This window comes from Homo sapiens, chromosome 7, assembly GCF_000001405.40.
Source record: "Homo sapiens chromosome 7, GRCh38.p14 Primary Assembly".
Lineage (NCBI taxonomy): Eukaryota > Metazoa > Chordata > Mammalia > Primates > Hominidae > Homo > Homo sapiens.
The window spans coordinates 2,187,440-2,207,619 of record NC_000007.14 but is presented as its reverse complement, the minus strand read 5'-3'; the positions used below and the strand labels follow the sequence as shown (position 1 = coordinate 2,207,619).

The window sequence follows — 20,180 nt, the reverse complement described above, 5'->3', positions numbered from 1 at the left end:
TGAGGTGTGAGGAGAGGCGCGGAGCTTCCATGCCCTCTCTGGGCACACCACCCTCCAGGAGCCTCTGTGTGTGCAGCTCTGAACCCTGGCCTTATTTGTGGGTTTTTATGGAGGCTTCATCACAGAGGCATGATTGATTACACCATTGGCCGTTGGAAATCAACTCACCCTTCGGCCCCTCTCCCCTCCTAGGAGGTTGAGGGGTGGGACTCAAAGTCCCAACCCTCTAATCTCACCTTGGTGTTTCGGATAACCACCCTATCTGAAGCTGCCTGGGGGCTGCCAACCAGCACTCAGCTCATTAGTTCACAAGAGACACTCTTCTCACTCCAGATAAGGAGCTGCATGTATGTCAGGGAACAGAAAGACCAAATATATATTTCAGAGTATCGTAAAGGTACTGTGGTCGTGTATTGGAAGATTCATTATTGTTAAGATGGCAGTTTGCTCAAATTGACCCAAATATTTAACATAGTCCCAATCAAAGCCCCAGCAGAAATTGATGAACTGATCTCTAAAATTTCTTTTTTTTTTTTTTTTTTGAGACGGAATCTTACTCTGTCGCCCAGGCTGGAGTGCAATGGTGCGATCTTGGCTTACTGCAACCTTTGCCTCCTGGGTTCAAGCAATTCTGCCTCAGCCTCCCCAGTAGCTGGGACTACAGGCATGGACCACCATGCTTGGCTAATTTTTGTATTTTTGTAGAGACAGGGTTTCGCCATGTTGGTCAGGCTGGTCTTGAACTCCTGACCTCAAGTGATCCACCCGCCTTGGCCTCCCAAAGTGCTGGGATTACAGGCATGAGCCACTGTGCCCGGCTGACAATTTCTAAAATTTCTATGGGAATGTAAAGTACCTATAAATTGTTATAGCCATAACAGTTTCAAAAAAGAACAAGTTATACAGCTTACACTGGCCAATTTCAAGACACGTTGTAAATTGCATAAATTGAGACACTGTGGTATTAAGTATAGACATGTAAATCAGGAGAACAGAGTAGAATGTTCAGAAATGATTGAAGAATACAGTGTTGATTGTTGTCAAAGTGTCCAGATAATTCAGTGGGAGAAAGAATCTTTTCACCGAGGGTGGTAAACCAGTAGGCTCTTCGTGGTGAGGATGAGCCTTAACACCTGTCTCATGCTGGACACAAGATTTAACTCAAATGACGCATAGACCTATGTGTAAAAGTCACAAAATCTGGAAGCTAGGGTTTGGCAAAGAGGTCTTACAATACAACGAACATGAACCATAAATGAAAAAATTGATAAATTAGACTTCATCAAAATTGAAAACTTCTGCTCTCAAAAGATACAGTGAAAAGGCAGACCATAGACTAGGAAAATATTTGCGAGATATTAACATGTATCTGACCAAAGATGTGCTCCAGGATAGAGAAGGAACTCTTACAAATTAGTAAGATTACCATAGTTTAAAAAATGGTCAAAAGACTTTTAACAGATACTTTATTATTTATTTATTTTTTTGGAGATGGAATCTTGCTCTGTCGCCCAGGCTGGAGTATAGTGGCATGATCTTGGCTCACTGCAACCTCCGCCTCCCAGGTTCAAGCAATCCTCCAGCCTCAGCCTCCTGAGTAGCTGGGGTTCCAGGCGTGCACCACCACACCCGGCTAATTTTTGTATTTTAATAGAGACAGGTTTCACCATGTTGGCCAGGCTAGTCTCAAACTCCTGACCTCAGGTGATCTGCCTGCCTTGGCCTCCCAAAGCACTGGGATTACAGGTGTGAGCCACTGTACCCGGCCTGCTTTTAACAGATACTTTACAAGAGAAGATATATAGGTGGTAAATAAGGACATGAAAAGATGGTCAACATTGTTAGTTATTAGGGGAATGCAAATTAAGACTGTAATCGCCCAACAGGGTTCTTCTTGCTGCCCAGAAAGCCAATGCACTGAGAACGGCAGGTGTGGCAGCAGAGAGGGAGTTTAATGATTGCAGAGCCAGCCGAGGGAGGTGGACGCGAGATAACTCTCACATCTGTCTCCCTGAGAATTAGGAGGCGAGGGCTTGAGGGTGTTTTGGCGGGCAGCGGCCTAGGGAGTGGTGAATGCTGGTTGGTTGTGTTGGGGATGCAATGATAGGGGTGTCAGGACTGTCTCCGTGCAGCTGAGTCAGTTCCTGGGAGATGGGGTCACAAGTCCAGGTGGCATCTCTTGATCTGCTGAAATGCTAAATCTGAAAAATATCCCAAAGACCAGTTTTTTAGGTTTCACAGCAGTGATGTCTGTAGGAGCCGTTAGGGAAGTTCCGAATCTGACAACGTCTGGTTACGTGACTCCGGGTAGCAGGCACTGTAGAAGAGCAAGCTAAGTAAGCAGTGACAGGTCATGGTTTACCCGTGCCTGTTCTTTAGCAAAGTTCAGGCCCCTGTAGCAATGCCAGTCTTAATCTCCAAACAAGGACGGGTGTCATTTTTCCTTGCCTTGAAGTTTAACTATAAACTACATTCCTCTCATAGTTATCTTGGCCTCTGTATTAGAATAAGCAAAAAAAAAAAAAAAAAAAAAAAGAAAAGATCCTGTGAGGTTAGAAGCAAGGTGGAGTCAGTAATGTAGATTTCTCTCGTTACTTAAAATTCTGTAAAGGCGGTTTCAAGACTGCAGTGAGATACCACTGGGCACCCAATAAAATGGCTAAAATTAAGCAGACTGACCATCCTGACTGCTGGCAGAGATGCAGAGCAGCCAGGCCTGTTGCCCCTGGGAGTAGCAAGTGGTACGGCCACTTTGGAAATGGTTTGGTAGCTTTGTACACACTTACGGTGTGACCCTGCAGTTCCATTCCTCGGTATTTAATCTAAGAGAAACCCAAGAGAAAATGTGGTCTCATGAAGACTTGTACAGGAATGTTTGTAGAGCCTTATTCTAACAGTCTGAGAGCAGGAACAACTCAGGTGCCTGTCAGCAGGTGAAGGGATACGTGGACCGTGGCGTCTCCACGCAGTGTAATGCGCGGCAGCGGCGGTGCTTGGAAACATGAAAGGGTCTCTCTTGCTGAGTGAAGGAAGCCAGACTTACTGAGTTTATACTTACTATACCATCCCATTGATTTGAACTTTTTAAAAAGGTAAAACTGAGCAACAGTGATAGAAAGCAGGTCAGTGATCCCTGGAGTCTCGTGCTGGGATATGATTGGGGTCTTATGGGGTGCTAGAAATACCCTTTGGCGTAATGGATGTGATCGCCGCACAGGTGTACACGCAGCAAAGCTCATGACACTGCTCTTGTCAAACTGTTCACGTGCGCAGATCATACCTCACTCAAGCTGGCCTGTCAACAGCAGACGGTCAGCTCTTCGGATTAGCTGTGAGGGGAAGGAAAATTCCTTAGTGGCGACTTGGACTGAATTGGAGAGTGGCCTGGGGGTGCTGTTTAAGCCAGCCTTCATTTGGGGAGGGACCCATCCCCTGAGTTTATGGAAGGCCTACGGCCACGGCTGCGTGCACCTCCTGGGTCTTTGTTACGTCACAGGAGTGCTGTGAGGAGTGGCAGCATGTGGGGTCAGTGCAGGCTGCAGAGGGTCAAGGAGTTTCACATTTGATGAAAAGCAGAACAAGCTGCATAAATGCAAATGAATGGAATGAAAAGTGGAACGTGTTCTTCCTTTCCTGCCCTCCCTGGTGACCTCACTCAGGGCTGGGTGCCCTGTGTCACAGCTTCCTAGCCATCGTCACCTTGTGTTCTCAGTATTCCTGGGGGGCTGTTCCAGAATAGAACTGATTGCCCCGGAGGTGGGCAGCAGGGCGTGCTGTGCTTGGCCCCGGTTCGTCTTTCTAGGCAATGCCTGATGAGTTTCCTGTGTGTCGTTCTGGAAATGTGTGTACATAGAAGCTCTTTATGTACTCCCATCACCTTTTAAAATTGGGGCTCCTTCCACAGTTTTATTCTGCAACTGTTTTCACTCAGTTTTTGACAGTTTTTTGGCCCCAGCGCAGGCTGGTCTGCTGAACTACTTTAAAGAACTGCAGGGTGTGCTGGAGTGCAGACGGACTCAGACTCCAGCAGCCCCTGTTGATGGACACTTAGGGTGTTTCCAGCTTCTTTCCCCAATTAGCCATGCTATGCTGGTTGGGTAAATTCTTAAAAGGATGATTTTTAGTTCAAAAGAGATGTGCGTTTGAGACTCCTAGCTGGTGCCACACCGCCCTCCCGAAAAGCATGAGTGCTGTGCGCTCCCGTCACGGCGTGTGACTGCCGTCACCTAATGGGGGTGGTGTGCTTTCAACGTTTCTAGAGAGATTCAGCTCGAAGTCACAGTACAGTGAGGAGAGCAGGCATCTTCAAAGGCTTGGCTTTTCAAAACTGTCATTTAGCAGCTCCCACTGAGGGGGACCCTATGAAATAGGAAGGGAGTGGGTGTCAAGTCCTGTAGCCGAGCCCCCACTTCAGGGAGGAAATCATTTGCTCGTGGCCAAGATGCCGCTGTTTTTGGCTCCTTGCCTGTCCCGTTGTGCCTGAATCTGGCCTTGCTTCCCATCCCGGCGGGTGGGCATTATACCCGTCAGCAAGGGCAGGCCTGAGGGGGTGAGGAGGGGCTGCAGAGGAGGCTGGGCTGGGGAGGTGGGAGGCGGGCATTGCTGGCTCAGAGTCCTGGCAGCTGTGCCCACCTGGAACTGCTGACCCATCCCCTGTAGTCAAAGCTGGGCACCTGTCAGTGCTGACCTGGACATTTTCCCAAAAACTTTTGTAGACTGGTCAGATGACAAGTCTCAGGGCCCAGCTTCCCTGATGTGTGAGGCCAATTAGGAGGACAGTGAGGGGATGCATGATTTTCCTCTAAGGAAGGGTCTAATTGACCAGCCTGGACAGTTTTATTATCCTAGTTACCGTGCGCGTGATTTGTAATTACCCGGCTGTTGAGTTGATCAATACCAGACGCCCTGGTGGTGCTTGGGAAGGTGGGCGACTGTCAGGTATGTTGGTCCATTTTAATTGGCGCCGGTTTGGTTTTCTTTGGGGCATGGGAGGAGGAGGGGGAGAAGCGTTTGGCCTTCTGGCTACTTGTGTGAGCATGGCCCTTCTTCTGGGCCTGCATGCCGGATGCCTCGTGGTCTGGGCCACGTTTCCCCTTTTCGTTTGTTCATTCGTTCACCATGAGCTGCTCTTGTGGAGCCCATGATCTGGAGGGAGAAGGATCCCTCAGGCCTGTGCGTCTGTGGTGTGCAGGTCCCAGGACCCTGGAGCTGGAGAGTGGCGAGTGTGCTGCCCTCCAGAGGTGCAGGCCAGGGTGGGGCGTGAGCCAGGTTCCCAGCTCCGTCCGAGCACGGTGCCTGCCATCTCTCCTCTTCTCAACCCCAGCTCCTCCTGTGGCTGAGTCCTGGCCGCTTTCTGCCTTGGGGTTGTGTTGGTTTTCCGTAAACGCATCCTCTCAATCCTGAGCATTGTGAGTTAAGAGCTGGGGTCTCCCTTTAGCGCCCCTGAGCCAGACGTGCAGTAGGCGTGTGCTGAGCCTTTGAAGAGTGGAGGACCGAGCGAGGGCGTCTCTGTGCCTTGCAGTTGGTGGTGATGTATGGGCGGAGCCTCCAGTGCTCTTGGCTGCTGTGACAGGGCCCCCCTGGGGTCCTGCACTATCCCAGCGAGACCCCCAAAGCAAGGCCAGCAGAGAGCTTCCTGACAGCTGCCTCGCTTTGGCGACGGCCCTGGCTGGGGTGCAGCCTGTGCCCCTCTCCGCCCCCTTGTGAAGTTTCGGATGGGCGTTCCCAGCAGTGCTGACAGGCTCACGCCGCCCTTGGGCTTCATTCCAGGTACGGTCGGGCAGGCTGGAGACTGTCAGAGTCTGGGGGCGGTGCTGTGGGTGTTGGGACCCCGCAGGGAGAGGCGAGAGAAGGGCTTCCCAGAAGAGACCGTTGGGCTCCACCCCTGCATGTGCCTGACTGCACAGACAGCTGAGTGCTCTGCGGCGTGTCCGGGTGGAAACGCTATCACTTGGTCTCGGAGCTCTTTTTGGGGCTTTTCTCCAAGCTTTGTAGATAGGGCTCTTCTACTTATAGGTCTCTTTTTAAATTGATTTTAAAAAGTCTAAGGCCAGAGTGACAGGCTTTAGACAAGTCCGGCTGCCGTAGGTTCCAGGATTTATTTTAGAGGAGGCGGTGGCATCCCTGGTGGTATCTGGGCTGGTTTTTACTCATGGGTGCTTACTGGGGTCCTGTTGCGTGCTGTCCCCTCCTTGTGGGCTAGGGGCTCCCAGGGTGTCCACGTCCCTACTTTTACAGGTAGAGCAGGGGGTGCCCTGGCGTGGAATGGAGGAAGGGTCTGGGCAGCTTTGTGACAGGGCTGGTAGGAGGGGGATTTTGACAGGCGGCTTGAAGCCAGCGCCAGCCGAGGGCCAGAGGCAGAGAAGCTGAAGGCCTCCTCTGGGCAGCCCACCACTACCTGCCCTTCTCTCCGAGGACTTCCCAGCAGTGCCATGGCCTTCGGAGAGCTGGGGTCTCAGGCAGGCTACGGGGCTCCACAGCTCCCCACCCAACATTCCTCAACGTCAGCTTTGGGGCTGTGAGGTGTGACCTCTACAGGATCACCTGGGGTCACTCCCTGCAGCCAGCTGTAGCTGTCATTTGTGTCAGGAGCTGCTGGTCTTGCCTGCACCACCCACCCTTCCCGCCCTCCACCTACCCTGCGTGGCCTGGGTTCTTGGGAGGAACAGGAGATCCTGAGCTGTTGAATTCCTGGAACCCACGGTCACTCGGCACCCGCATCCCGCTCCTCCCAGCTCCTGCACGCTTCTCACTGGTGTGGTCACCTGGAATCAGGTGCCCTGATTCTGCTGGACAGGCGGGAGGGGAGGCTGGGCCGAAGGGTGGACCAGCCTTTGCACGCTCAGTGGCTGCAGGGGGGCCGTGTGCATGAAGCAGGCGGTCCTCGTGGTAGCACCGTTTGTGCAGAGCCGCGGTGGGGAGAGCGGGCTTGCGTTCACAGAAGTGCTGTGAGATGATCACTTCATCACAAGCCAGTCAGCACCAGCCTGTGGGGCGGCTCATGTGGACTAAGTGATCTGACTTTCCTGGCTTTTGTTTGACGATGTTTCCACTGTTATCCAGGTGCAGAGAGCTCTGATCTCCCACGATCGGAAGTACCGTGTGCGTGTCTTACCTGGGCAGAATGCAGAGACCTTCACTGGCAGCTGTGTGTGGACCCTGGGGCTCTGTTACACAGCCAGGTGCTGAGGAGCAGGGCTCCGAGCCAGGCCAGCGAACCTTCCTTAGACCCCCTGTGTGCAGGCCTGGTGCCTGGTGTCGGGGGCCCAGTGGAGAACAAGATCCGGCTGTTGCCATGGGACTTTCGTCTGGTGGGGAGTCCTGAGGAGGATGTGGATGAGGTGGAGAAGAGGTTCCAGGTGAACGCAAGTGTCCACCCTGCATTCCAGGGTGGCAGGCGGCCCGGGGCGGGTGTGGGGTGGTTGGGTGGGCGCCCCGCGTGCTATGTTAGCGTAGGGTGGTGCACACCTGGCCGGCAGGCCTTGGTCCCGCTCTTCACCCTCCACCTGTCGTGGGTGCGCCCCGGGAGGGGTGGAGGATGGAGGGCAGGCGTGGGAAGAGCTCTGAGACCCTTGGCTTCATGGAGAGTGTTGGGCAGTTACCCCTCCCTTGCCCTCGGGCCTTTGTGAGTGTGGCTTCCTGGAACTCTGGGGGATTTGTCACCAGTGACTGCAGGGGGCTCTCCCATCCCTTTCATCCAGGCTTCACTGTCTGCCCTAAGCTGGGGACTGGTCCAGCTGACCTGGATGGTGCGGAGTGTGGGCCCTGCTGGCCAGCATGGCGTTGGGAAGCACCTAGGTGGGTGGTGGGTTGGGTTGTGGCCTTACCGCGGAGTCTGGGCTGCAGCTGAGAAAGCCGTCTCCTAGGACCAGGAATCTGGGTTTGGGAGGCTGGAGGTCTTGGCCCAGCAGTTCAGTGGCTGCCCGGTGTGTCTGCCTGGCCTGGCCCTCGTCTGGTTTCCGTTGTCTGGGAGGCACCCCTGCCCGTGCCAGGCGGGGCACTGCGGGGGCGCGGATGCGGAGTGGAAGACTGCTGATTTAGGAATCGAAACTCCAGGGACATCCGTGTAGCAGAGTGATTCTAAGATGATTAAGAAAACCATCAATGATTTAAAGAAAGTGTTCACTGCAGTCCTTATTGAGCGGTTTGCCGCGTGCAGGGCATGTGGGGGTGGCGCACCAGGCTGCAGGCGCCCTTCATGACGGCAGGCAGGGGACCTCCTAGGAGTCTTGGCTGTGACACGTGAGGTATGAAGGCCAGAAAGGTGAACGTGTGGAATCTGTGACCCAGAAGTAACAAACTCCTTTCTTGGAGAGCAGTTAGGTATTCCATTCCTTAGTCCATATGCCAACATTTAAAAAGGCCAAAACCAGAGGCCTAGAAAATGTATCTGGAAGTTGCAGTGAGACCGTTTTTGATCATTGTGGCCTTCCTGGGGCTCAGTTTCCTCGCTTTGCAAATGCCATTTTGGCAGGGATCTGCTGTGGGGCATCTCCGTGCAGGTGGAGCTGGAGTTGCGCATCTTTCTCAGGCTGGCATCATACAGGCCCCAGTGCACTCTGGCAGGGAGGGGCAGCCCCCTCCTGGATAGCCCCGCCCAAGGCCGGGAGGACTGTGAAGGGGGGATCCCACTGCCTGACCTCAGCCTGTCGGGCCCCACAGCGCGTCTCTCTGTGGACTGGTCGCCGGCTTCCTGTGGCCTGTGTGTCCTCCGAGTGGCTGGAGCTTTGGAACCCTATTCTGTAGCTTGGAGCTCCTGAGCCTCAAAGGGCAGGGGCCTGGTTCCTTGCCCATCCTTGCCCAGCCTGATGGCCTGTGCTTGTGGACTGTACATGGGCACCTGCTTTAACACCTGGAGGAGTAGGGGCTACCAAGAGCATGTGGCTCTGGGCCTCCCTGGGAGAGTCACTCAGCGGCAGGAGAACTGAGTGGGACACATCAGGGAGTGTCTGTCTCATGGACGCCTGTTGGCCTGCAGCCTGGAGAGGGGGCCTGAAGTGTGTGTTCCATGCTCTTGACCCCCAGGAAGCACTCGCCTCTGTTGAAAGCCTCGTGCCGCAGAGCGCGATTGCTGTCCCGGGTGGACGGCCATCACGGGCTCCTTGCTCCGGCGATGCCAGCGCTCCTGGTGTTGTGTGTGGCTGGCTCCCCCTTGTCTCAGCCCTGGGCTTAGAGCAGGCCAGGTGCTCAGGCAGTGGTTTTGTTGCTTGAAGGGGGGTGTGTACCTGGCTGCAGCCTGTGGAGAGCGTGAGTGGCTGGCAGAAGCAAAGGCGGGCTCTTGGGAGATGAGAGCAGGCAGCCGGCCTGGAGGCTTCCATGGGGCTGGTCAGCTCCTGCTGGCTCTTCCTGGCACAAATCCACGCTGGGCTGGGTGCCTTGGCTCACACCTGTAATCCCAGCACTTTGGGAGCCTGAAGTGGGAGGATCGCTTGAGCCTGGGAGTTCAAGACCAGCCTGGGCAACACTGTGAGACCCTATCTCTATTTTTAAAAATAAAAATATAAAGATAACCCTTCCTCCAAAAAAAAAAAAAAAAACCCAAACTCATGGTGGACCTTGGGATGAGCGGGGGCGCTTGTGGGGCAGAACTGGGTGTGGTTGCCCCGTCCTGGGCCTGTTCCCAGGCCTGCTCTTAGAGGAGGGGCTGATGGGCCCTGTGGGTGCAGGGAGATGGGGTCAGTCACAGGCTGGGGCCTGGGGGCTGGGACCTGGGGGCTGGGACCCGGGGGCTAGGACCAGTTTTGGCTCTCAGGCAGGGAGGGGTTGTGAACTCTGTTTTGGGAATGTGTGTTTGAAGTGTCAGTGATGTAGCCAGAAGGAGGTGTCAGACAGCAGCCGATGTCAGGCCTGCATGGCTCCTAGAGGAGCCCTAGGGCTGGCCTGCCCAGTGAGGGGCAGGGATGAGCCGGCCTAGGGGAGTGGCAGAGCCAGAGGAGCAGACAGCTGGCCCGAGTCTGGAGGGATTTTGGCGTTTGCAGGTGGCTTTGAGCCTGAGGGCCAGTGCCTCACCGGGTCAGAGAGCTCTGCAGCCCGCCAGTCCTGGTCGTGCCTGTGTCCGAGCTTGGGCCCGTGTGCAGGGAGAAGGTGGCTGTGCAGTGCACGTCGTGTGTACCAGGCGTCGGCGGAGTGATGCGTGGGTCGGGGCGGGAGATGAGAGGAGGAGTGAGGAGAGGCTAGAAGCCTCCAGAGCAGTGGGGTTTCTTCCTCTTCTTCACTGGTGAGTGCTTCTTGAACACATAGGTGTGCAGGCCTGGTGCTGGGTGCTGGGGATACAGCTATAAGTCAGGGGCTGTTTTCCAGTCCTCTCAGATCTAGCCGGGCATATGTCTGCTAGGTCAAGCGTGGCTCCTGAAGAGATGACACTTGAGAGGCTGGCAGCATGTTCCAGATAGGGTGGGTGCTGGCAGCACACAGGTTGGCCAGATGCTGCGTGTTCGGACAGTGTTGTGTGGCTCCAGCTGGTTCTAACCACAGTTCTCCTGGGATGTGGCAGAAGCTGGACAGGTTGGCAGGGATCTGTCCTGTCCTGAGGGTGGTTTGGACCGCGTCCTGCAGGTCACAGGAGCCGCAGAAGGTCTTCATCAGGGAGGAGCACATCCGCCAATTGTGAAGGGGCCTCTTTCCTCACTGAATTCGCAGGGCGAGGACCTGGCGCCTTGGCAGGACCCTGCTGGTGGAAGTCCCTGGGGCTGTCTGACCCGCTGCAGGTTTCAGCAGCCCCGAAGTGTGGGGAGGGTGGGCGGTGTTTCCTGTTGTCAGTTGAGAGCCTCATGGAGTAGGAGCCGTGGAGTCAGCCGCGTTGTAGTGAGAGTTAGAATTGAGCCGCACTGTTCCTGTGAGCAGGGAGCCCGAGGCCTTCTGACTTCTGAAGAGGGTTCGTGTTGAAGGCCAGACTCTCCCTGTTTTTCTGTTTCCTCTTCAGGTGAATGCCTGTTCCTTTGTGACCACAGTGTCTGTGGGTAGCACTGTGATTTTGGAGACGCTCGTTTGTTTGTTCATCTGAACATTTATTTGGAGACCTGCCGTTTGCCAGGCTTTGGGCTGGCTCTGGCGACGCTGTGACGAGCACAGCACAGTCTGCCCACGTAGTGCACACACACAGACAGCTTTAAACAATGAAAACAACAGGGGTGCCTCCTCAGATGCAATCTTTTGGAAGATGCCGCAGGAGCGTTTTGCGGGAGTATCTTAGTTGGAGACGGCCTTGTTGGATATGAATGACGCTGGTGGGAATGAAGGCCAGACGTTTTCCCTGGTTTGGAAACAGGTGGCTTACAAGAGTTTCTAGAGTTTATTTGTTTAAAGACAGAGCCTGTTCTCAAGAGGGTCTTCACTTTGCTGGCAGGATGGCACTGTTGACGGTGGTGGTTGGCTCTGGAGAGCTGCTGTGTAGTTGACAAAGCCTGTTGATAATCAGCGTCTCATTCGTTCTTCCTCAGAACCCTGTGGACTAAGCTGGGTTCTGGGAGGGGCTGACTGGCCCAAGGGCATCCAGTGAATTTGTGGCCCTGTTGCCGGAATGCTTGGCTGATCCTGGAGTATGGTGAGCTGTGCCCTCAATAACCTCCATCCATCTGGCTGGCCACATGGTGCCATGCAGCTGGATCCTGCATTTTTGTGAGCTGATCAGCCCGATGCTGGCACTGAAAGGATTCTGTTGGGAGCTGCCATCCATTTAGCCTGAGCGGAACTCAGCACATGTGCGGGCATGAAGCCCATCAGCTGATAGCTTCTTTTTCAGACCTGATGGCTCCCAGCCGAACTTTGGCAAGAAGGACCTACCAGCCTGCTGGAGGGCTGACCTGCCTGCCTTTGCTGGGAGCCAAGCACCTCCTGGCAGTTCTGGGATTTGGTTTTCAGTGGGAGGAGGCTCTCTGCAAGGTAGAGTAAGAGCAGTAATTACTTGGGAGAGGAAGCGTTTAACTTCTGAGGCTGCAACACAATACTATCTTGTTCGCGGAGGTGGCTGAGTTAGAAGATTAGCAATTAATTTTTTATCAGGTGCAAACTACTCTTCAGTTTCATGGAATCAAACAGTCCTCCCACAGCAAGGGAGGGGCAGGCTTCCACCCCGTGTAATTTTTCAGAGCACTGCTGTTTGTCTGCTTTTGAGCTGATAGGAATTATTTACGAGTCTATTTGGAGGACATTTTGACACACAATTCTTGGTATTCCCATTTGCTCTTTCTAGTTTTTACTTTTCCTGCATTGCTAGCGTTTACTGCAATTAGGTCTCAGGAGTATTTTGCCTTTTATTAGGATTGCAATTACAAAATGCAGGTATCAACTAGGTTCCTTTAAATCAAAGCTCACTTTTTATTGACTCGGATAAGAAAAGTAGGTATTTTTAGTAGACTGAGTTGAAAAGAGTGTCATTGGTAGCTATTACAAGCATTTCTTTTAGTTTAGGTGTTTTTATTGTTTACGAGAGCTTAGCTGAAGTGGCATAGATAACCCAGTAGGGGTCACTGCTAAGTTATCTGTAAGTTTTCTAAGCTTGAGCTTTAGATTCAAATACTTTTTTTTTTTTTTTGAGACAGAGTCTTGCTGTGTTGCCCAGGCTGGAGTGCAGTGGCATGATCTCTGCTTGCTGCAACCTCAGCCTCCCAGGTTCAAGCGATTCTCCTGCCTCAGCCTCCCGAGTAGCTGGGACTACAGGTGCGCATCAGCACGCCTGGCTAATTTTTGTATTATTGTATTTGTTTTTTTAGTAGAGATGGGGTTTTGGCATGTTGGCCAGGATGGTCTTGAACTCCTAACTTCAGGTGATCTGCCTTCCTCGGCCTCCCAAAGTGCTGGGATTATCAGTATGAGCCACTGCGTCCAGCCCAAAGACTTTTAATAATAGAAAAGGTACTTTCTCTTGTTTCATCATTTAGTATGCTAGGTTTTCTTTGAGTTTCTGTAACTAAACAGTGGGTACCTATGATAGGTTGGGATGGATTTAGGGCAGAGTCTGGTACGTTTTTTCTGTAAAGGGCTGGGTATTAATAGTAAATATTTACTTTGTAGCTTTGGGGGCCATAAGGTCTCTGTTACAATTAGTTGGCTCTGCCTTTCTAGCCCAGAATAGGGTGATTAGCCCTCACGGCTTGTCTGAGACTGAGGAGTTTTGCTTGGGAGGTGGGACCTTTCATGTGAAAACTGAGATGACCCAGGATGAAACAGGACTGTCACTGATTTTAGTGCAAAAGCTGCTGTAGACAGTGCGTAAATGAATGGATATGGCTGTGTTCCAGTAAGACTTTATTTTCAAGACAGCTGGGGTGGGAGTAGGTTTGGCCTGAAGGCCATGCCTGCTAACTCCTACCTGAGGATACAGGGCTAGCCATTTAATTTTGGTTTAAAAAATCCATGCAGAGGCTGGGCATAGTGGCTCACGCCCGTAATCCCCGCACTTTGGGAGGCTGAGGTGGTAGGCAGATTGCTTGACCTCAGGAGTTCAGGACCAGCCTGGGCAACATAGTGAGACCTCATCTCTGCAAAAGAATACACACACACACAAAAAAATTAGCCAGGCATGGTGGCACGCACCCATGGTCCCAACAACTCGAGAGGCCAAGTCAGGAGGATCACCTGAGCCCAGGAGGCCGAGGCTGCAGTGAGCCGAGATCATGCCACTGCACTCCAGCCTAGGTGATAGAGCAAGAACCCGACTCAAAAAAAAAAAAAAAAAAAAAAAAATCCATGCAGAGCCTTGCTGCCTTTTCCCTGCAGCTTTTCTTTCCCATGCAGAGCCTTTTGCTGCCCACACAGCATCATGGTGGTTTCTTCCTTTCCAGATTTGGGACAGTTGGGCGACGGTGTGGCCTTGCCTGAGGGTGGTTGTGGAAGAGAGCCTAGGGTGAGACTGGCGTCTCCCGGATCGCGGCTCAGCACCTGCTCTGGCTGGAGCCTTGGCAGTGCACAGTGAGGTTTTCCGGAGGAATCTGGAGTTACCCGCGGCCGTGTTACCCCTTGGTAATAATTTTGAAGGGATAAAACCCTTATAAATTTGCTCCCAGGGTTGAGAAGTGCTCATTTCTGTCTCGCCTTTTTTTCTGGTAGCCGAGGGTTCCCAGGAGCACATATTGTGATCACGTCTGTTCCATTCAACAAATATTTGTTGAGGGCTTATGACGTACCGTGGTGTATACTGGCTGGGAGATGCAGCAGAGAGCAGGACGCACGGTCCCTGTGCTGAAACTCAGCACAGCAATGTGGTGCTGGGTGCGGAGGCGGGGAAGGGCTTTGAGGACCAAGAGTTGGAGGGCCTTGCTGTTCTAGGACAAGGACCGTCCTCTGGGCGGGGACGCTTTCTCTCCAGGACGTGGTGGCTGTCGGAGCTGGGTGGCCCTTGTCTCACCCCGGTTGCTTGGGCAAGTGAGTATGCTGGGGCGTGGCTTGGGCCGATGGTTTGTGAGCCTGCACCTGTCAGCCTCAGTTTGGGCTCCCTGTGGGGCGTGTGAGTCCCTGTTCTGACTGAGGGTTGGGTTAGGGTTTCCAGCCTCCCTGCCCCTGGGAAGAGGCTCCACCCTCCTCCACGAGTGCTGAGCTCCGGGTCTATTTGTACTGTGAGGAGTTGCTTTTGTCTCCATCAAAAACATGAACCACTGTTTGGAGCACTTCCATTTACTGACAACCCTTGCCAAATTAATTTTATTTAATTATCTCCCAGGGCTAAGCTTGAATACATTTTGTGTTAAGTTCACAGTTTTTTCCTTTTCTAAACGAAATGGACTTAATATCCTTGTTAAAATCTGATTAAAACTAAAATTGAGTTTTTTGAAGTCTGATTATCCCATGAAATGGAATTTTAAACCTAATTACAGATGGATTTGCATATACTTTTCAGCACCATTGAAAAGAAACTTGGTATAAATTTATTAATGACATCCTTTTCTCTCGTTTCCTTGGGGCATGACGTTAGTTTAGGAGCATGAGGGAGGTGGGGAGAAACACCACCCTTCTCCCCGCCCTTCCTTAGAATTTTTTAAAAAACTTTACTCTGTGGAGAATCAGTTCCCTAGGAGCCTGGGGCATAGTCACACTTTCATTCTCATCTTTGCTGCTTTACCGGCTTAGGTGGCTGATAGTTTTCCTGAATTGTTTTTCAATACTCAGAGCTCTTGTCTTTCGGAAGATGGAAGAGGAGCATGCACGATCATAGCTGCTGGTGTGTCTTCCCTGTCAGCTTAAAACGCAGATTTGGCCGGGTGTGGTGGCTCACGCCTGTTATCCCAGCAGTTTGGGAGGCCGAGGTGGGTGGATCACCTGAGGTCAGAAGTTCGAGACCAGCCTGGCAAACATGGTGAAACCCTGTCTCTACTAAAAATAACAAAAATTAGCTGGGCGTGGTGGCATGTGCCTGTAATCCCAATGACTTGGGAGGCTGAGGCAGGAGAATCGCTTGAACCCAGGAGGTAGAGATTGCAGTGAGCCGAGATCATGCCATTACACTCCAGCCTGGGCAATCAGGACAAAACTCCATCTCAAAAAAAAACAAAAAAAACAAAAAACCCCATGGATTTATATTTAACGTGCTACCTCCACCCTGATTTAATTTTAGTTTTTAATTTTAAGTTTTATTTTATGTATTTTTTTTTTTATCGAGACAGAGGCTCGCTCTGTCACCCAGGCTGGAGTGCAGTGACGCGATCTCAGCTCACTGCAACCTCTGCCAGCCGGGTTCAAGCAATTCTTCCGCCTCAGCCTCCCGAGTAGCTGAGATTACAGGTGCCTGCCACTGCGCCCGGCTAGTTTTTGTATTTTTAGTAGAGACGAAGTTTCACCATGTTGGCCAGGCTGATCTCGAACTCCTGACCTCATGATCCGCCTGTCTTGGTCTCCCAAAGTGCTGGGATTACAGGCGTGAGACACCGCACCCGGCTTAATTTTTTTTAATTTTTTTGAGACAGAGTCTTGCTTTGTGGCCCAGGCTGGAGTGTAGTGGCACAATCATGGCTTACTGCAGTCTCTGCCTCCTGGGCTCAAGCCATTCTCCCACCTGAGCCTCTGGAGCAGGTGGGACTACAGACACTTGCCACCACGCCCAGCTAATTTTTGTATTTTTAGTAGAGACGGGGTTTCACCATGTTGGCCAGACTGGTCTCGAACTCCTGAGCTCAAGTGATCCGCCTGCCTCAGCCTCCCAAAATGGTGGGATTACAGGTGTTAGCCTCCACCCTAGTTTTAGATACATTTGTATTATTAAAAAAGTAAAAACAAACTCTAAATGACCATTAGGTGAAATAAACAAGAAATTTCCAAAGGGCCATGTTCCTGTTCTTTGAGAAATCCCACTTTTCCAGGAGGGCTGTTTGCTATTGTGTCTGGACTCATGCTGCCTGTTGCGACTTCCTAGTGGCAGGTGGAGGTAACAGGCTCCCAGCGTACTTGCCCTCAGTCTGGCTGTCACCGTGGTTTTGTTTCGTCTGGAATTATGTGGGAATGGAATCATACGTCATGCAGTCATTTGTGTCTGGTGATTTCACTGGCAGAATGTTTTCTGAAAAGCATTCATTCACATTTGTTGCTTGTATCGGTTGTCCTTGTTATATCGAACGGATATACCATAATTTTTAATCCGGTTTTTTGCTCTTGCAGATAAAGATTCTGTGAACATTTGTATTGAAGTCTCTTTATGTATGTTTTCCTGTCTCTTGGGATAATACCTAGGAGTGGGGCCTCTGGGTGATATGGTATGTTTTAATTTTAGAAAAAGCTGATGAGCCAAAGTGGCTGCCTAATTCTGTCCCCTGGCCACCCGTGTGTGAGAATTCCGCTGGCCCCACATCCCGAGCTCTTTCATTGAATTCCGCTGGCCCCGCATCCCGAATGCATTCATTGGCCACCTTCACTTTAGCCATCCTGGTGGGTGTGTGCGGTATTTCCTTGTGGCCTTCATTCCTGTTGCCCTGGTGACTAATGATGTTGAACATCTACTCATGTACTTAACTTGACGGCCATATATCTTCTTTTGTGAAGTGTCTTTTCAAAGTCTTTTCCCCATTTTTTAATTGGACTGTCATCTTCTGAGTTGGCAGAGTACTATATATATTCATGACAGAGTCTTTTGTCAGATGTATGGTGAATATTTTCTCCCGGTACGTGGCTTCCTTTTCATTTTCTTAGTGTCTTTTGAAGGGTAAAAACTTTTAATTTTGCTAAGTCTGATTTATCAATTCATTTTCTTTATGGTTTGTGTTTTTTGTATCTGCCTAACCCAAGCTTTTAGAAACTTTCTAGCTTTAACTTTACTGTTAATTTTGAGTTAATTTTTGTGTGTAGTGTGGTCACAGTTGAGGGTCGCTTTCCTGCCCCACAATACGTATGTCTGTTTCCCATTTGAATTTCCTTGGCACCTCTGATGAAAGCCTGTCAGCCATACATTCATGGGCCTTTGCTCGAGGTCTTCTTTCATTGAATCATGTGTCTGTCCTTTCTCCAGTATGGTAAGGTCGTAATTACTGTCACTTCCTAATACTCTTTGAAAGAACATAGTAAGCCCTCCAGCTTTTTCTTTGTAAGAATTGTCTTGGCTATTTTAGTTTTTTTATTTTCAGATAAATTTTAGATTTAGCTTTCAGTTTGTTTTCTTTCCCCCCATTTACTTTTTATTTCGTTTATTTTTTCTTGCCTTAGTGCACTCACTGGGACCTCCAGTGCAGTTTTACCTGGGCATGGTGAGAATGGCTGTCCTGGCCTTGTCAGCCTTAGAGGGAAAGCGTTTAGATTTTCCTGAAGCATGAGGTTAGTTTTAGGGTCTTGCGAGATACTGTTCATCAGGTTGAGGAGGATGCTTTTCTTTTCCCCGATTTGTTGTATTGGGTCAAATACATATACAATAAAATTGACTGTTAACTGTTTTTAAGTGTACAGTTCAGTAGCTTTAAGAACATTCATATTGCTGTGCAACCATCACCACCATCCACCTCCAAAACTTTATCTTCCCAAAGCCAAACTCTGTACCCATTAAACGCTCGCTCCCTGTGCTCCCCCGTTGGCTCTAGGACCCACCATTCTGCTTCCTGCCTCTGTGATTTTTTACTACAGTAGGGACCTCATAGAAGGAGAATCATGAAATATTTGTCCTTATGTGACTGGCTTATTTCACTTAACATAATGTCCTCAGGGATCATCCATGTTGTGGCATGTGCCAAAATGTCCTTTCTTTCTAAGGCTGAGTAATATTCTGTTGTATGGATAGACGATCCGTTCTTCTTATCCAGTCACCTGTTGATGGACACTTAGGTTGCTTCCACATTGTAGCTACTGTGAATAATGCTGCTCTGAACACGAGCGGGCAGATATCTCTTAGAGCCCCTGCTTTCAACCTGCTGGATCCTGTGGTTCAACTTTTAACTATTTTAGGAGCCACTACATTGCTTTCCACAGTGGCTGTACCATTTTACGTTCTCATCAGCAGTGCACAGGAGTTCCAGTTTCTCCACATCATCACCATGTGATGTGATTTTTTTTTTGGTGGTAGCCATCCTAATGAGTGTGAGGTGGTGTCTTGTTCTGGCTTTGATATGCATTTCCCTAATGATTAGTGGTGTGGAGCACCGTTCCATGTGCTCCTTGGCCAGTTGTGTGTCTTCTTTGGAAAAATGTCTATGCAGGTTCTTCGCCTGTTCTTGAATCGCGTTATTTTCATTGTTGTTTTAGGAGTTCCCTTGTATGTTTTGAATATTTTTCTCTTACAGATACGGTTTCCAAACATTTTCTCCCATTCTATAGGTTGTGTTTTCAGTCTGTTGATAGTGTCCTTTGACAAATTTAAAATTTAAAAATTTACCAAGATTTCATTTGTCTATTTTTTTTTTGCTGTTATCTGTGCCTTTGATGTCATATCCAAGAAATCTGTGCCAAATCCCATGTCATAAACCTTCTCCCCTGTTTTTTTCTAAGAGTTTTATAGTTTTAGGTCTTACATTTAGGTCTTTGATTTGTTTTGGGTTAATTTTTTGTGTATGGTTTAAGGGCCCAACTTCATTCTTTTGCATGTGGAGACCAGTTTTCCAGCACCATGTGTTGAAAAGCTTGTCCATTCCTCATTGAATGGTTTTGGCACCTTTGTCAAAAATTATTTGAGCATACGAAAGTGTTTATTTCTGGGATCTCTACTGTATTTCATGGGTCCATATGCCTGTCATTCTGTCAGCACCACACTGTTTTGATTACTGTGGCTTTGTAGTAAGTTTTGACTTAAAGTGTGACTCTTTCAACTTTGTTCTAACTTTTCAAGATTGCTTTGGCGAGGGACCTTTGGGTCCCTTGAGATTCCATATGAATTTTAGGATAGATTTTCCTATGTCTGCAAAATATTTAGTTAGGTCTTGATAGGGATTGCATTGAACGTCTAGATGGCTTTGGGCGGTGTTGACATCTTAACAGCAAGTGTTCCACACGTAGTGGTTTCTGGAAGGTTAGTTGTGGTACGGAATAATCTTTTCAAACTGTCGTACTAAAATTCATTGGTCTCTTGCACTTTGAATGGACCTTTATCCATGCATGGTTATGTAACATCATACATTGCTCATTTGAAAATATCGACGCACTGAATTATGTAGGTCTTTTATTATGCCTTATTAAAGAAATTACAAGCTAATCACCACAAGTTATTGAAAAGTCTTTAAACGTTAGGAATCCATCAAGCTTGTGGTGGTAGATACAAATTTTTAAGAATTTAGATATGTGTTTGGCAGCTTGAGTTTTATTATTGTCAACAAATACTCGTGGTTGTATTCTTTCAAATGATAACGTTTATTTAATTCGTTTTTGAGAAAATGTCTACCAGATGCTCAAGCCTGAGTAACTATTGTTGGTCAGTTAGTTTTTAAGTAAAATATTTTACATAAAAAGGGCTAGTTCAGTTCACAACTCAAACATGGAAGACCAACCATCGCACTTTAGTATGCACCAGAAATGTCTTACATGTGCTTTCTATTTCTTCACACAGAATGTTGAGATCTTATCAAGGGGTTAAGATTTAATGAAGTGAATATTTTAACTGGGCCCAGTACTCCTGTAGTTCCAGCTGCTCGGAAAGTTGAGGTGGGAGGATGGCTTGGGCCCAGGAGTTTGTGGCTGTTGGGAGCTGTGATTGTGCCTGTCAGTAGCCATTGCAGTCCAGCCTGGGCAGCATAGCGAGACCCCACGTGGTGCCCCTGGTTTGTTTTGCTAACGTGTTATACCCA

The 20,180-nt window shown here is 49.9% G+C and overlaps 1 protein-coding gene and 1 long non-coding RNA gene across 6 annotated transcripts in view, besides 2 other annotated features; one reads left to right on the top strand and one right to left on the bottom strand.

Annotated features, from left to right (window-relative positions):
- Nucleotides 1–20,180, top strand: part of MAD1L1 (mitotic arrest deficient 1 like 1) — a 417,151-nt gene that overhangs the window by 25,326 nt on the left and 371,645 nt on the right. The window lies entirely within an intron of this gene.
- Nucleotides 2,420–7,902, bottom strand: LOC105375126 (uncharacterized). The gene is made up of 3 exons (XR_001745062.3): nt 7,827–7,902; nt 3,281–3,329; nt 2,420–2,496 (listed from the first exon to the last, which is right to left on the bottom strand). It is a non-coding gene; the product is annotated as an uncharacterized LOC105375126 (long non-coding RNA).
- Nucleotides 3,951–4,925: an enhancer, noted in NCBI's record as "H3K4me1 hESC enhancer chr7:2242330-2243304 (GRCh37/hg19 assembly coordinates)". NCBI's record gives its function as "activates a minimal SCP1, AML or CMV promoter by ChIP-STARR-seq in primed H9 embryonic stem cells {active_cell/tissue: H9 hESC(primed)}" and the evidence as "EXISTENCE:reporter gene assay evidence [ECO:0000049][PMID:30033119]".
- Nucleotides 11,892–12,186: an enhancer, noted in NCBI's record as "tiled region #12216; K562 Activating DNase matched - State 5:Enh". NCBI's record gives its function as "activates a minimal TATA promoter and a strong SV40 promoter by Sharpr-MPRA in K562 cells {active_cell/tissue: K562}" and the evidence as "EXISTENCE:reporter gene assay evidence [ECO:0000049][PMID:27701403]".